Source organism: Homo sapiens, chromosome X (genome assembly GCF_000001405.40).
Source record: "Homo sapiens chromosome X, GRCh38.p14 Primary Assembly".
NCBI classification, from domain to species: domain Eukaryota; kingdom Metazoa; phylum Chordata; class Mammalia; order Primates; family Hominidae; genus Homo; species Homo sapiens.
In genome coordinates, this window is record NC_000023.11 from 129,547,620 (window position 1) to 129,563,773 (window position 16,154).

Sequence of the window (16,154 nt, forward strand, 5' to 3'; positions counted from 1 at the left end):
ATCTATGTCTTGATGCCCTAATTCCCCTTGTTTAATCATCCTAATAATAATATCGAGACTACTTTTTAGTGTTAAAGGAGTTAGTTCCTTGCCAGTTGCTTCTGTTGTACCTGAGTAATGGAGCCAAATAAACAATTCAGTCTTGGGAGGGAGGTGAAAAAGGTGAGACTACTCCATTTGACCAAGGTAGATCCAGGCTAATCCCAAGGAGTCAGTACCCAGAGTTCAATTAGCCAGGAGGGTCTGGCAGGTGCACTTGGTCAAATCCAGAGAAATCAGAGGGGAAGAGATAGGTTGGGTCTAGACACTTGTTGTAAAGGAAGAAGTCCAGGAGAACCATTGAGAGATAAGAGAAATCCAAACTTGCAGACTGCTTTGCACCCTGTTTGGTACGGAGGGCCTTGGGCCCACAGGTAGTAGTTGTAACCTGAAGGTATACTCTGCCCCCATGTGTGGGGCAGGGGCAGAGGTGATGAGATCACTGGGAAATTTTCAGAGAATAGATCTGAGTTAAGAAAGTAATTCACCTCTGGGCTTTCAGGGTCACTTCCTTTGCCTTCTGTTATCTAAAGAAGTATCTAAAGGACCCAGAGTTAAATCATTATGTTACAGTTAAGGGGAATTAAACTTGCTTTCGCTGAATTAACATGTTGTTATGTTCTGTACTATTAATTTCTCATTCGTTGATTTGCTTTGAGGAGTTCCATTTGGTTACTTCTTCAGTTCATTTTTATTTTAGTTGATTTGCTCATAGTCTTTAGAACCCAGTGCTATAAAAAATCCCTTTAAAAAATATTAAACGAAAAGGGATTTAAAAAAATATGTTCTAAGACCTAGGAGTAGTGACTGAGAGAAGCAGTTATTTAGTTAGGCATGTATTCTTTTGGTTGTAGTGAGTGGTTTTCTCTTCCCTAATCCTACTCTCTTTTTTTTCCCCTCTCAGAAGCAGAAGAAACTCTTTTGATTGACATAGCTTCTAACAGTGAGTATCTTTCTGAATGTGCTTGATTTTTACTCAACAAATATTTACTTGAACACTCACTACATTTAAGACACCTTTTGGGGCACATTTTTTATTTTACCATCTTTTCCTGTAGTCTCCTGTAGCAGCCATACAAATTAGCACTGTTTCCCAAAAACATGTAGGCTAAGCCTAAGAAAAAGCAGGTGGCTGGTAAGAATCTTTATAAAAATAAAAAATAATGATCTACCTTTCTAATGCTGAACTTCCGTGAGCTACCAGTATTGTTGCTGTCAGTTGAATCATTGCTGTAGAATTGATAATTGTAGGAAGGGCTGATGTTTAAAGCACATAAGGTTTATTGGTGGAGTTTTTTTGGTCATTTTTTAACTGCTATTACATTTTAAGTTTTTTCCCTACCCTCTTTTTAAATTTTGTGTGTTAAGTCATAATATTTTCCTTTATTTGTTGTATTTTTTTGGAAGGCTGAAGAGTCCCTTAAATTGCTTGTCCAGGCATTCCTTTAAAAAAAAAAGTTTAGTCTTTTATTTAAGCCCCATCCCCTCAAGGCATCTCTTTATTAGAGGGAACATGATCTTCTTTTCAATGTTTCCATTCTCTCATTTTTATCTGTTTGAAGCAAATCATCTTTGACTTTCTGTGCAAACTGTTCTTTGTTTATCATCTAATTGTACTATTTTATGGAGTGGAGAAAATGGGCACTCGATGCTACTGTGAGGTTGCTATGGAAAAGAGTATCTGACCACATGAATCTAAATCAAATGGGTTGCCTTATCTCTTGGTTGAGTCCTTGGATGAGTGGGAACTGGCACTGAGCTTGGGACTAGGGGTTTACATAACTTTGTTTAGACAGTCCCTGCCCTTGGCACTATTAATTTGTATTGAACACTTTAAGTAGGCTTTTTTTCTGGCTTGAGTTTTTTTTTTTTTCCCTTTGGTCGTGAATTTTAGAAGTCTTAAAGGCTGTGCCTGAAAGGCCAGGTAAACCCCAGCTGCAAGTATCCAAGAGAGAAAATAACTTAATGTCTATTTCTTATTGTGCTTAGAAAGGAGAAGGCAAAAACAACACTTAAAAAAGCAAAACTAGAACAAAAGCAATTCCATAACAACTGACACTGCTGCTGAAATAAGAGATGGAAATGTCCTGTATTTGATGTGGAGAAGTATTTGATTCAAAGCTGAAAAGTTAAACTGAGCTGTGCCTTTTCTCTTATAAGCACCTAATTTTCGGCATTAGTTTTGTTGTGGCCGCTTCTACATTAGCCATGTGTTGCTATGTCCAGAGTTCTAGTTACTGGCTCATAGGGGGAAAATAGGTAAGTGACCACTTGAATAAAATCCTTTGTTATTTCTACCCATTTAGTAGTATTTGCACTGAAACCATATTTTATCTTGATCCTTGGGCTTCATACATAAACCTTTATGGTACACGGTGTGTTGCAGGAAGGAGATCTTGGGTTTGTTAGGCAGGCCTGATTTTAATGTAAATATGCATTTTCCCATTGTCTGGATATTGGTGTTAAATGCTTTGTAAATAATTTTTTCTCACAGAAGTAATACATCTTCATTATATACAATTTACTAATTCAGAAAAGCTTAAAGTATCAAATTAAGATTATTTTCCTGCAATCTAGAGATCACCACTGTGGTTAACATTTTTATGTATTTCCTTCCAGTCTTTATATTTTTACATAATTGGAATCCTCATATGCAGTTTTTATCCTGCGTCTTCATTTAACATTATATTGTCCCATTTTCTTATGTCATTTACAATTACTTTATAATATGCTTTTTAAAAACCAAATATTTCACCATAGGTCTGTGCCAAATTTTATTAAATTAACTTCTTTATAAAATTAAGTCATTGTCAAGGAACATGATATATCTGTTTTTTTCAGGTCCTCTTTTATATCTTTCAATAAAATTTTATAGTTTCTTAATATATATAGTTTTTAGGTTAAGTATTTCGTGGTGGATTTTATTTGCTGCTATTGCGAGTGGAGGTTTTTTCTATGTCCTTCTAATTGTTTATTACTAGTATACAGAATAGCTGTTGAGTTGTGGATATTTATCTTTTATCCAGTTGCTTCATTGAAATTTATTTTTAATCTTTTTTGCTTTTCATTTTGTTTTTTCATTTTGGTAGCTAACCTTAATATCTATAAATAATAATTTTGTCTCTTTTCTAGTAGCTACTATCGTTGTACACTATACCAGTGAGAATTTTGGGACCAGTGGTAAATGATGATGTTTCTTGTTTGGCTCCTGATTTCAGTGAGAATGCCTCAAGTGGTATTTCACTGTTAATGACATTATTGCTTGTTGATTTGACAGGGTTTTTTTTTTTTTTAATTAAGAAACTGCATTTATTTCAAGTTTGTGTTTTTTAAAATTATGAATGTATACTGAATTTTAGCAAATGTCTTTTTGGTATTTATGGAGATGATTTTATTCTTCCTTATTTGACCAATTGGTACACTGTATTGTACTAATTTCCTAAAATTAAACTGTCCCTTGTTTATCCATTATTCAACAAATATTTGTTGAGTGCCTTCTATTTCTCAGGCACTTTTGTAAGTGCAGAATCAGTACAGAACGACAAAGATAAAGTTGCTGCTCCTACTTTGGTTCTTGCTTCTGTGCAATTCAGTACTAGTGTCACACAGATACCTATAATTCAATCATTCATTCTATAAAAATATGACTATTTTTTATGTGCCAGGAACTACACTAGGCTCTAGGGATATAGCAGAAAGCAGTACAGTCATGATACTTTAAGGATTTTAATATAGGAAACAGACTTTAAACTGATAAGATATAGATAATTGTAGTTTTTTTTGTTTGTTTTTTTGAGATGGAGTCTTGCTCTGTCATCCAGGCTGGAGTGCAGCGGTGCCATCTTGGCTCACTGCAAGCTCCGCCTTCCAGGTTCACACCATTCTCCTGTCTCAGCCTCCCGAGTAGCTGGGACTACAGGCACCTGCCACCATGCCTGGCTAATTTTTTGTGTTTTTAGTGAAGACAGGATTTCACCATGTTAGCCAGGATGGTCTCAATCTCTTGACCTCGTGATCTGCCCGCCTTGGCCTCCCAAAGTGCTGGGATTACAGGCGTGAGCCACCGTGCCTGGCCCAGATAATTGTAGTTTTAATAAATGCTCTTGAGGAAAAGTACTAAGAGTTTATGAGAAGAGTAAGTATATTAGGAGGGTGGTCAGGGAAGACCTCTTTGAAGAATTGACATTTAAATTGAGACCAGAGGGGCTAAGTAAGAGGCAGGTTAAGATGGGAGAGAGAAGAATTTACCAGGTAAAGGGAATCACAAGGCTCCAGGCTGGGAAGTAGCTTGACACTTTTCTTTGAAGTGATAGAAGACCAGGGTGCCTAAAACAGGTCTTGGGCACCAAGGTAAGAAAAACAGGCTAGGGGGCAGATCTGGCAGGATCTTGTAAGCCTTGTCTTAAATCTGAATTTTGAGATTTCAAAAATGAGAATCGTATGAAGGATTTTATGCTGGGGTGTCATCATTTGCATGGAAGCAGAGAGACCAGTTAGGAGGCTGTTTCCATAGTGTAAGCTAGAGAGTGTGGTGGCATTAGTAATGAAGAGAAGCAGTCAGACTTGATAGATGTTTTTGGAGGTAAAATCCATAGGAATTGTTTTGGGTGTAAGGGGTGAGAGGAAGTGTCAAGGATGAATCTCGGGTTTCTGACATGACTGTGGATGATGGTACCATTTGCAGAAATAAGAACACTGCACAAAGAATGAGTTTTCCTCAAGGGGGAAGGGTCATTAATTTAGTTTTAGTCATGTTTAGTTTGAGATTTTTTTTTTGTTTTTTGAGATGGAGCCTCGGTCTTATCGCCCAGGCTGGAGGGCAGTGGCGCGATCTCAGCTCACTGCAACCTCTGCCTCCCGGGTTGAAGCTATTCCCCTGCCTCAGCCTCCTGAGTAGCTGGGATTACAGGCACCCGCCACCACGCCCAGCTGATTTTTGTACTTTCAGTAGAGATGGGGTTTTGCCTTATTGGCCAGGCTGGTCTGGAACTCCTGACCTCAGGTGATCTGCCCACCTCGGCCTTCCAAAGTGCTGGGATTAACAGGCATGAGCCACCTCACCCGGCTGAGATTTTTTTTGAGACACCTGAGTGTAGATGATAAATTGGCAAGTGAATGTATGCATCTGAATCTCAGAAGAAAGTCATCTGGGTCACTAGCACGTAGATGATATTCAAAATCATAAGAGATGATGTGATTGTGTGTGGACTGTGCTATCCAATACAGTAGCCACTGGCTACATGTGCCTATTTAAAATAATTAGAAATAAAATGAGAAATTCAGTCCCTCAGTTGCAGTAGTCACATATCAAATTGTTAGCTACCATATTGGACAGCACGGTTTAGAGCATGCCCATAGTCACAGAAAGTCCCATTGGACAATACTGGTATAGAATGAGAAAAAAGATTTATGTTTGAACTTGAGGAACTCCATTTTTTAAATGTTAGATAGAGGAAGAGATACTTCAAAGGGCACTCAAAATTAGTGATGAGAGAGAAACTAGATGAGTATGGTATCATAGAAGCTTTTGGAAGGGATTATATCAAGCCCTGATTAACTGTTGATTTCTGCTAATAGGTCTAATAAGATGACTGAAGAATATCCATGGGATGGAGGTTATTGGTGAACTTAAAGCAATTTCAGATAAGTAGTGGGTGTGGAAGTCATATTGGAATGGATTCAAGTGAGAAATGGGAAGTCTGTGACTGTGTGTCTTTTAAAGAAACGTGACTGGAGGGGAATATAGAGATGGACTGGAATTGGAGGGAAATCTGAGATCCAGGAAGATTTTTGTTTTTCAGATGAGAAGGACTTAGAACACGATTATATGCTAATGTGGAGGAGCTAGTGAAAGGGAAAGCGTTAAGGATATGGGGGTGTGTCTAGGGATTAGTTGTAAGATTACTGAGAGAATCAGAGGGGTTGTAATTCAAAGTGAAGGAGGTTTGATAGGAGTGATCTTCTTCCTTGTATCAGTAGGGAAAGGATGAGATGAGTACAAATACAGATAAGTTTCCATGTGATAGCTTTATTTTTTCTCTGAAGTATGAGCTGAAGCATTCTGCTTAGAATAAGAGGGCTCAAGAAGATGGGGGATCCAAATTTTGAGGATAAATGAGTAGGTGTGAAACAGTTGTTTCAGATAGTAGTAGGAGACTGATTGACTGTAGGACCTTAGGTTGCTTCCTATGATAGAGGACCCGGTTGAGATTGGCAATCAGGAATGTATAATGATAGCCATCTGGTTGTGGGTGTGCATATTTACCCCCTCTGCTTGTTCAGGTATAAGTACAGAAAGGCAATTAGTTGGATTTCTGAGGGTTGGTATTTAGCCAGGTAGGTGCCACGGAAGAACAGAGAGGCAAGGCAGTTCTGGGTTTTTGCAAGAGTGTAATGATGGCATCTGTTTGATAAAAGGGGAAGTGAGAGCAGGAAGGGGCTGACGGATAGTAAGAAAACAGAGAAATCAATGGGCTGGAGGTTCCCATCAGATTAAAAAAAAAAAACAGTTACAATGGGGATAATGAGCAAGTAAGTTGGAAGGAATAACATGTCAGGGTGGGATATTTGAATTAGAGGTTTATGAAGTGGTGGTGTTTCTATGATGACAAAATCCAGGGTATAACTGAGAGGGTCCCAGTAGCAACTGAGGAAGTGGTGGCTGAGGTGGAGGGGGAATGTCATTGGATGAGGAAGCTGAAGGTGTTGACTGGGTTTTCTGTGCTAATTTTAAAGGGACCCAAAATTAATGGCAGGAGATCGAGTGGAGAGAAAGTCTTATGAGCCAGGTATTGTATCTTGGATTCTGAAGTTTCTGGGAGGATGGTGCATGATCTTGTAGAGGAAAGGGAGGAAACGGTAGATCCCAATGGATGAGCCTCAAAGGAGAAAGGATTTTGCCTGAGGGAGAAGGAGAAAGAGTAGTCTGGTGGTGTTATTAGGACAAATACAGACACCAACTCAAAATTACTTCAGGTGTGAGAGAATATAAACAGACTCCATTAAGAGGGTTAGGCCAGGCCCGGTGGCTTACGCCTGTAATCCCAGCACTTTGGGAGGCCGAGGCGGGCGGATCACGAGGCCAGTAGTTTGAGACTAGCCTGGCCAACATGGTGAAACCGCGTCTCTACTAAAAATACAAAAATTAGCTGGGTGTGGTCGTGCGTGCCTGTAATCCCAGCTACTCAGGAAGCTGAGGCAGGAGAATCACTTGAACCCGGGAGGTGGAGGTTGCAGTGAGCCGAGATCGCGGCATTGCATTCCAGCCTGGGCAGTAGAGACTCCTTCTCAAAATAAATAAATAAATAAATAAATAAATAAATAAATAAATAAATAAATAAATAAAAATAAGAGGGTTGTAGGAGAAGTGCTCCTCCTAGGGACCAGCCAGTTTTGCAGTTGACTCTGAATTTTAATGTGCACATATGGTCAGATCACTCGGAAACTACGAGTGCCTGGGCTTCACCTCCAGAGGTTCTGTTTTAATTGTCCTGGAGTGGGGCCTGGGTTCAATATTGTTTTTAAAGTGCCTCTGGTGGCCAAGCACAGTGGCTCATGCCTGTAATCCCAGCACTTTGGGAGGCCAAGGTGGGCAGATCACGAGGTCAGGAGTTCGAGACCAGCCTGACCAACATGGTGAAACCCGATCTCTACTAAATATACAAAAAGTAGCCGGACATGGTGGCGGGCACCTGTAATCCCAGCTACTCAGGAGGTTGATGCAGGAGAATTGCTTGAACCCAGGGGACGAGGTTGCAGTGAGCCGAGATCACGCCACTGTGTTCCAGCCTGGGCAACAGAGCAAGACTCCGTCTCAAAAAATAAATAAAAACAAAAATAAAGTGCCTCTGGTAATTTTAATGCATGCATAGTTGAGAACTACTGAGAGATGCAGAGAATATTCAGATGAAGTTGAGGATGTAGGAGTGTTTGCAGATCACAGAGGTCCAGAAGGTTTTAGGATGGACAAGAAGAGTAGAAGGTTGAGTCTTGAGGTAATTTGTTTTCTTTCTCAAGCAACATGGTGAGGGAGCATCCAGTGTTATTTTGTGAGCAATTTCTGGAATCTTCTGGCCCATTAAATAGGTCAGTTATATATTTGCTAAAATATGTCTTTCAAGAATTGTGTGTTTGTGTGTGTGTGAGAGATAATAAGGGTTTTTGTTCTAAATTTATGTCAGATAGAAACTACTCTTTTAAAACCACATTTAGTATAAATAATCTGAGAAAGAAAGGACTTGTTAGGCCCTGAAGGAGTTTTCCCTATATCTTCATGGCTGCTATAATTGACACTTTTTTCCTTCCCTCTCTTTTTTCCCCTCTACAGTGGCACCCTCATTAATTTTCTTATCCGTAGTCTATTTGGGTGCCTTCTTTCACATTTTTCTCCATTTTTATCTATTTTCTTCTAATTAATTATTTTATTTTCCTTTTTGTAACTCATTTTACAAAGACAGAAAGAAGAAGAAATGCAGAGGACAAAAAGCTAAAGGTTCAGAAGTGGATTTCCACCATAAAAACTAGGATTTTCATTTCATTTTCTCATGTATTTGTTATTTACACGTGGTAAAGAGTCCAGTTCATCAGTCATTAAATACCTTCTGTCTGTGAAGTCTGATGTTACTGTCACCAGTAGAGTGACCAGCAAGCCTTATTTGCCTGGGACTTTCCCAGTCTTAGCATTGGAAGTCCTGAGTCCTAGGAAGCCTCTGAGTACCATACAGTGCTGGGACAGTTGGTCACCCTAGACTCCTGAAAGTGCTGGGTTCGCTGTATGTGCACCCTGCATGCGTACCCTGCCTCTTGCCCTTAAGGAGCTTGTAGTTTCCAGAGGCATGAGAAAACAACGTATGTAATAAATCAGTTACAATAAGAATAGAAACAAGTACATAGGTTTCCTGGATCACCACATCCAAACAGTTGATATAGATGATAACTATAGGGCATCAAAAAAGGGGAGACAATATGTTATACACATAATAAATTAAAGCCCTAGCTAACTTTGCTTCTAATTCTCCTAGTTTCCAATTGGCTGTACTTGAACCAAACCACTTCTGAGCATAGGTCATTATATTGTTTTTGTATGTTTATTCAAGACATACATTTTAAACTTGAGGTAATGAGTTGTAGATGCTTCTTTTCAGAATACTTCAAACCAGTATCACTATTTTTAAGTTATTTTGTAAATTTAATCTGTGCTTACGGACAAACCATCCTACTTATTTTATTCCCTTCATGCTTCAGATACTCTGACAATGTGATCTGGACTTGAAATGGTAGGAATTTCCAGCTAAGGAATGGGAGGGAGGGTGATTGAGGAATTTACCTTTTGCTGGAATTTGAAGGTCCCTGCTTTGATGTCTGAGAGATAGATCAGAACGCAGGAAAGTATAATTTTAGTATGTGTCATATCCTTAGATCGGGCTGCTCATGGACACGGTTCATCAGCCTTAGGAGTTCTCACTTCCCTTAGGGTTCCCTCTCTGCATCACCCCTTCCACCACCGTCATACTGACTCTCTTGATCTTGTATGTGTGCTTCCTATATTAGAGATCTGGAATATTTGTGATCTGGACCTTCTTCTGTTAACCTGATAAGTTGAGAATATGATCCCAGTAAAACATTTTATCCCATAGCAGTATATGTATGGATTTCAATTCTTTTTAGGTGGCTGCAAAATTCGGGTTCAGGGGGACTGGATCAGAGAGCGCCGCTTTGAAATCCCTGATGAGGAACACTGTTTGAAGTTCCTCTCAGCTGTCCTTGCTGCTCAGAAAGGTAACTAAAGACTCAGCGATTTTCTTTCTTCTATTTCAACGGGAGTGGAATTCTGACATGCTGATACAGAGGAAAGTGGCCATTGGCAAAATACCTCACCCTTTAAGCCCTGATAGCTGATTTTTTTTTCTTCAGGAGTGAACACAGGGATAGGTTAGGGAAAAAATCTGCCCAGCTTTAAGGACACTAGGCAAGTTTTCAGAATATTCAGTGTCATGGCAAGCACAGCTTACCATAGACTATAATTCTCCTTCTGCCCCTAGATGACCCCAGAGCTGCCCTCATTTCCTTAGTTTCTTCCACTGTATCCAAAAATGGTGCTGGCCCCTGCATATAAGGAATGTTGAAAGAATGGCTTTTGGCTATAGTAAATTCTACTCAGTGAAAGACTTCCCAGTTTCTGACCATGAACCTTATCTCTCTAGCTCAGTCACAGCTTCTTGTTCCAGAGCAAAAGGACTCATCTAGCTGGTACCAGAAATTAGACACTAAGGACAAACCTTCTGTTTTTTCAGGTACTAAAAAGTTCCTGGTTTCCTTGTTGCTATGGTCATTGCAGAGTCAGTAGATTTTGTCAGGCCAAATATGGTGATGTAGATTAAAGCTGATGTCAGACACATTCTCCTGCAGAGTAGTTTTATCAAGTCCAGGCCCACTGACCAGTGTTCACTCCTTATCCTTCCTGTAGCATGGTAGCTGTTCAGGAGCCAGCTTAGCAGGGTGGTAGAAAGTACAAGCTCGAGAGCCAGACAGCCTGGATTTGAATCCCAAGTCAAGAACTTACTAGTTGTACAACCTTCATCAAGTTACTCAACAACTCTGAACTTCCCTTTTCCTTTCTGTAATATGGGAAGATTTTTAATAGTACTTACTTCTTGGAGTTTTTGTGATGATTAAGTGAGATCATGATATAGTCCCTTACTCTCAACCAGGCATTGTGCTCAGTCTTCAATAAATGTTAGCTATTACTAGTCTGTTCCAAGTTCTTATAAACTTCTATTGTTCTAGTTAGTATATCAGTGCTTCAGGGATAGGTATGCTTCTTCGAACTCCAATCCAAGTAATTTCTACCCTTATGATAGTTTTCTGTTTAGTAATACCACTGATCAAATTGTGATCAAATCAAAGCCCTGTTACCCTGGATATGTTGGATGTTAGATTTTTTCCCCGTTTGACTTTGGGGTCTGTGTCTTTCAGGGCTTCTTGGATTTGAAGACAATTTTTCTTCTATGAATTTGGACAAGAAAATAAATTCACAAAATCAGCCTACTGGGATTCATCGGGAACCCCCACCTCCACCCTTTTCAGTGAATAAAATGTAAGTCCCATGTGAAAACATATTTGCCTTGTAGGAGAATTATAGTTTAAACAATTTTACTTTTGAATCTCTCATTTATTTGCTAGGCTTCCACGTGAAAAAGAAGCTTCTAACAAGGAGCAGCCCAAAGTGACCAACACCATGCGGAAGCTCTTTGTACCAAATACCCAATCTGGGCAGCGGGAGGGTCTCATCAAACATATCCTGGCAAAGCGAGAGAAAGAATATGTCAACATTCAGACTTTCAGGTTAGTGTCTCTTTTGCTTCCTGAGTCTAAAAAGTTAGTATATATAACAGACAGTGGCCTGTTGATATTTAAGACATTAGCCTAATTAAGAATCAAAATATGATAAAAAGGAATGGTTGCCTGTTTCAAGCTCCTGTCTCTATGCTGGCCAATAACATGCATATCAGAAATAATGCAGATGCTACAGTTTCCCTTGGATTTTCTTTTTTTGTGTGTGTGGGTCAGGGTCTCTCTTTGTCACCCAGGCTGGAGAGCAGATAGATCATGGCTTACTGTAGCCTCAACCTCTCAGTCGTAAGCAATCCTCCCACGCCAGCCCTGCAAGTAGGTGGAACTACAGGTGCACACCACCACATCCAGCTAATATTTGTGTTTTTTATAGAGACTGGGTTTCACCAGGTTGCCCAGGCTGGTCTCAAATTCCTGAGCTCAGGCAATCCACCCGCCTTGGCCTCACAAAGTGTTAGGATTACAGGCTTGAGCCACCGTGCTTGGCCTTCCCTTGGATTTTCTAACTACTAATAATGCCATGTCTACTAATGTCTCTACTGAGTCCTAGAGAACCAAATCAAGGTCACATGTACTAGAGAATTTTCCCCTAGCACATTCCATAAGCAAGCGTGTTTATATATCTGGCCTGTTAAGTTTTTTTTTTTCAGCCAATATTAGAAAATTAAAGTCCATCATTACCACTAGCTCTTAACTTACTTACTTTGGTAAATAAAGAAAGTTTCACCCAGTCCTCTTGATTGGGAGGTCTATCTTGGGTTCTTTTATCTGTATTATTTTTTATTTCATCTTTTTTCTGGACTTGTGTGTGTATGCTGCATGTGAGGTACCATGTGGCATGTATCGCCAATGCATGAAGCAACACCACATTTCTTTGTTATTCATGAGCAGAATGTACCCTTCTAGTCCAAGATTCTAGTCCCATCTGCTATCCTGTCATACCTCATTTATTCTAATTCAGTCATAACTATATCCCTATGCTAAAACTTGCAGTTCCTCATATCCCCCACTATGCTTATATTTGTGTGTAAACAGTTAAGACAGTCATGAGTTTTCCCTTCTGCTTTCCCCCTTAATACTATGTCTGCCTCATCAGAATTTCCTACACAGATGTCCTTGTAATCCTTCAGGAAGTGAGTTCCTGGAGTCAACTATAGCCCCTTATAGAACATTTATCCATATTTGACTAGCTTACAGCATGAAGATACCTCTTTCCCATCCATAAGCTCTCCTATCAAGTATGAGTTTGGATGGAGCTTAATTGAAAGGAAATGTGGTATAGCAATTACCTTTGCATTTTTTAAAAATAAAGACTTGGTTTCCTTCTGTAGTTTTACTTAATGTAAAATTTAGAGAAAATAAGCCCACTGCCTTTGTGTTCTAGATGCAAAAGATCTTTCTTACATATGTGGCAAAACATTTTGAGGAATTATGTTAGCATATTGTGAACATACCTTTGTATGGAAGCGAAAAGAAAGAACTTCTGTTGGTTTATACTTGATCTTTGTTTTCAAATTATCTTTTCGTATTATGTATTAGATTTTTTGTTGGAACTTGGAATGTGAATGGCCAGTCTCCAGATAGCGGGTTAGAACCTTGGCTGAACTGTGATCCCAATCCTCCTGATATCTACTGCATTGGGTAAAGAACACTTCTGGAATTTCCTTTTGGCTATATGTTTGGTGTTCATTTACATGATGTTTTGCCTTTTTTAAAAAAGACTGTTGGTAAAACCTACTGTAGACTATACACGAGAGTTAACTTGCGGGTCAAATTTGTGAGAACAGAAATGAACAGATACCTAAAATGGTGTAAGGAAGCATCTAATTTTCTTGAAACCCGTAGGAATCTATATATTCTGCATAGAAACTAAGACTTGGGGTCAGTTCTAACAGTGACAGTTCCTAGGATATAAGAGCAAAGCTCTGCTGTTATCCTCTGTGGGAGGTATTTTGATTTATTTTTTGCATAGCTTATGAATGTACTTGTGGGAATTCTTTAGAAAAGAAAGCTACTTGTTCTTACTGATAACCTGGGTGAACAGAGCAGTTCTATAAAATTTATCTCTCTCCCATCTTTTTTTCATCTAATGTTTCAACATATGGGACAGGAGGTAGCCAGAGATAATTATGGGATATGTATAGATCTCATATCCCTTTTTTCCTCAGATTCCAAGAACTGGACTTGAGCACAGAAGCCTTCTTCTACTTTGAATCTGTGAAGGAACAAGAATGGTCCATGGCTGTAGAGAGAGGTTTGCATTCCAAAGCCAAGTATAAGAAAGTAAGCCGCATTTAATTATCTTTTTAAGTGTATGACTAAATAGGGCTCACCGGGAGTTATTCCATTATCTACAACTTGTTCCAAAAGAATAGTTTAATTGAATTCTTCTCTGTGTGTAATACTGGGATAGGGCAGATTGATCATTCATCCTTATTTCCTAGAAAAAAAAATCCCTAAGCTTTCTGATACTATATTTTCATTGCTTAGATAGCTTTTAGGGGAAAAAAGAATTTTATTATGCTTATATCAATACTTAGTTTGAAATAATTACATATAAGATTTAGATTACTCACTGACATGGTCAGAATTGAATGCTTTACAGAAAAGCAATATGAAACGTGGGCGCATGGTGCATGTGTTGCAATCAGAGCAAGAATAGAAGTGGTGTGGAATTTGAACGAGTTCTAAACTTGGTTTTAAGTTAAGAGGAGAGTTGACTTTAGCAAGATGGGCCAATTTGTTTGTCTTTAGAAGGTATGTGGTAAAGGCATTTAGCTACCAGAAGAGTTAATTACAGGGCTATCATACTAAGGTCTCTAAAAGAAGTAATGTGAGTAATTTTTCTCTACATCTTCTAACAGTTTATATAGGTAATAAAACTCCTGGGGATGTTATTCCTCTCATATAGGTCCCTGACTAATGTATATCTCAGACATATTTCTAGCTGTAGTTCACAAGTTAAAAATAAGTAAAAAAGATTGCTGTTTGGTTGATTTCAATTTCTTAGAAAATTAGACATCAGAAACTAGGAAGGAAAGGTGGAAGGAACAAGCTGGGATAGTGGCTTTATTATTTGAACTTTTAATGCTGCTTACTCCTGGTAGGCTAAGAAGTGATTAAAAGAATAGATCTAGAGCTGAAAGTACTCATTGTCCCTCCCAGCTTTTAACTCTTATTGGTCAGTGCCAGATTAGAGCCTCCCCAGAGAATATTAGTTTCCACTTGACGGGGTCCACTGAGAAATTAGAGGATATGAAGTCAGATTTGGGCACTAGTATATCATCTTGATGGAAAATTAGTCGTGGGACATTAGAAATGTGGCAAAGATTGGTATTAACATTAACCTTTTGTAACTCCCCGGAACTCATAGGTTCAACTGGTGCGCCTTGTTGGGATGATGCTTCTTATATTTGCCAGAAAGGATCAGTGTCGATACATTCGTGATATTGCTACAGAAACAGTTGGAACTGGAATCATGGGGAAAATGGTGAGTTACTTTGGAAATGAGCTTGATTATTATTCATGTTCATGTAAAGTTCAGTTGCTTGTTCTGTGTACTAATTGAATAATTACTCTTGCTAACAGGGAAACAAAGGTGGGGTAGCTGTGAGATTTGTATTTCACAACACCACCTTTTGCATTGTCAATTCCCATCTGGCTGCACACGTGGAGGACTTTGAGAGAAGGAATCAAGATTATAAGGACATTTGTGCGAGAATGAGTTTTGTGGTCCCAAATCAGACCCTCCCGCAGTTGAACATCATGAAACATGAGTAAGTGGTTAACTCACCTGTAGCCTTTGAGTAGTGGCTACAGGAGTTTGGATAGTGTAGAGATTAAATGTGAGATACTGTAGAGCTGTGAAGAGTGAAAGATTACCAGTGAGGGATTGGGGTCACAAAGGAGAGGGTTTTTGAGTAATAACAGAATCATTGAGGCAGAGAAATTAGACTTGATATCAGAGGAAAAGATAGTTCTATTAGTGGGGCACCTAGAATAATGCTGGAGGGTCTGTAGTTGGAGTCAGTTTTTATTGTTTTTATGATAAAATAGAAATATTCATTGCAAATGTAATAAAAGATAAAATTAGAAGTTAAATTTCCTCATTTCTTATTCTCTACCTAGCCAGTCCCTCTCTCCAAAGGAAACCATTCTTAACAGTTGGGTGTGTAGCCTTTTAGATCTGTACTGTCCAATATGACAACCAGTAGCCATATATGGCTGTTAGGTACCTGAAAGTGACTGGTCCAAATTAAGATATGCTGTATGCATAAGCTATATATTGGATTTTAAAGACTTAGGAAGAAGATGTACGATATCTTGATTTCTAAAATATTGATCACATGTTGAAATAATTTGGATATATTGAGTAAAATGAAATTTATTGATACTCACTTGTTTTTTTTCTTTTTAAATGCAGCTACTAGAAAACTTAAAATTATATTGTGAGGTGCATTATAATTCTATTAAATAGCACTATTCTAGCCTTTTGTCTATTCATATACAAACACACACATAGGTACTTGGTGTATAAGACTGTATTATTCTATTTATTGTGGATTCCTTTCCAAGCCAGTATATATAGATCTACATTATTCTTTTTAATGGCTGTGCTTATTAAAAACAGGGGCAGCAGAGAGAGGTCAGTGAAGAATGGGATTTAATAAGCATAGAAGCAGAGATGTGTTGAGGAGTAGATGTGGTGGTAGAAAATGATTAGTTTTAAAGAAATTAATATACCTAAAACCATGAAAACCCTA

The 16,154-nt window shown here is 38.7% G+C and overlaps 1 protein-coding gene across 3 annotated transcripts in view; it reads left to right on the forward strand.

Moving 5' to 3' along the window:
* Positions 1–16,154, forward strand: part of OCRL (OCRL inositol polyphosphate-5-phosphatase) — a 52,298-nt gene that overhangs the window by 7,361 nt on the left and 28,783 nt on the right. For all 3 annotated transcript variants that reach the window (NM_001318784.2, NM_000276.4, NM_001587.4), the window contains exons 4-12: positions 944–982; positions 9,706–9,816; positions 10,242–10,331; positions 11,014–11,134; positions 11,221–11,382; positions 12,931–13,032; positions 13,560–13,674; positions 14,765–14,881; positions 14,980–15,167. In NM_001318784.2, coding sequence (NP_001305713.1) covers positions 944–982; positions 9,706–9,816; positions 10,242–10,331; positions 11,014–11,134; positions 11,221–11,382; positions 12,931–13,032; positions 13,560–13,674; positions 14,765–14,881; positions 14,980–15,167 — 1,045 coding nt within the window. The remainder of the gene's footprint in view (positions 1–943; positions 983–9,705; positions 9,817–10,241; positions 10,332–11,013; positions 11,135–11,220; positions 11,383–12,930; positions 13,033–13,559; positions 13,675–14,764; positions 14,882–14,979; positions 15,168–16,154) is intronic.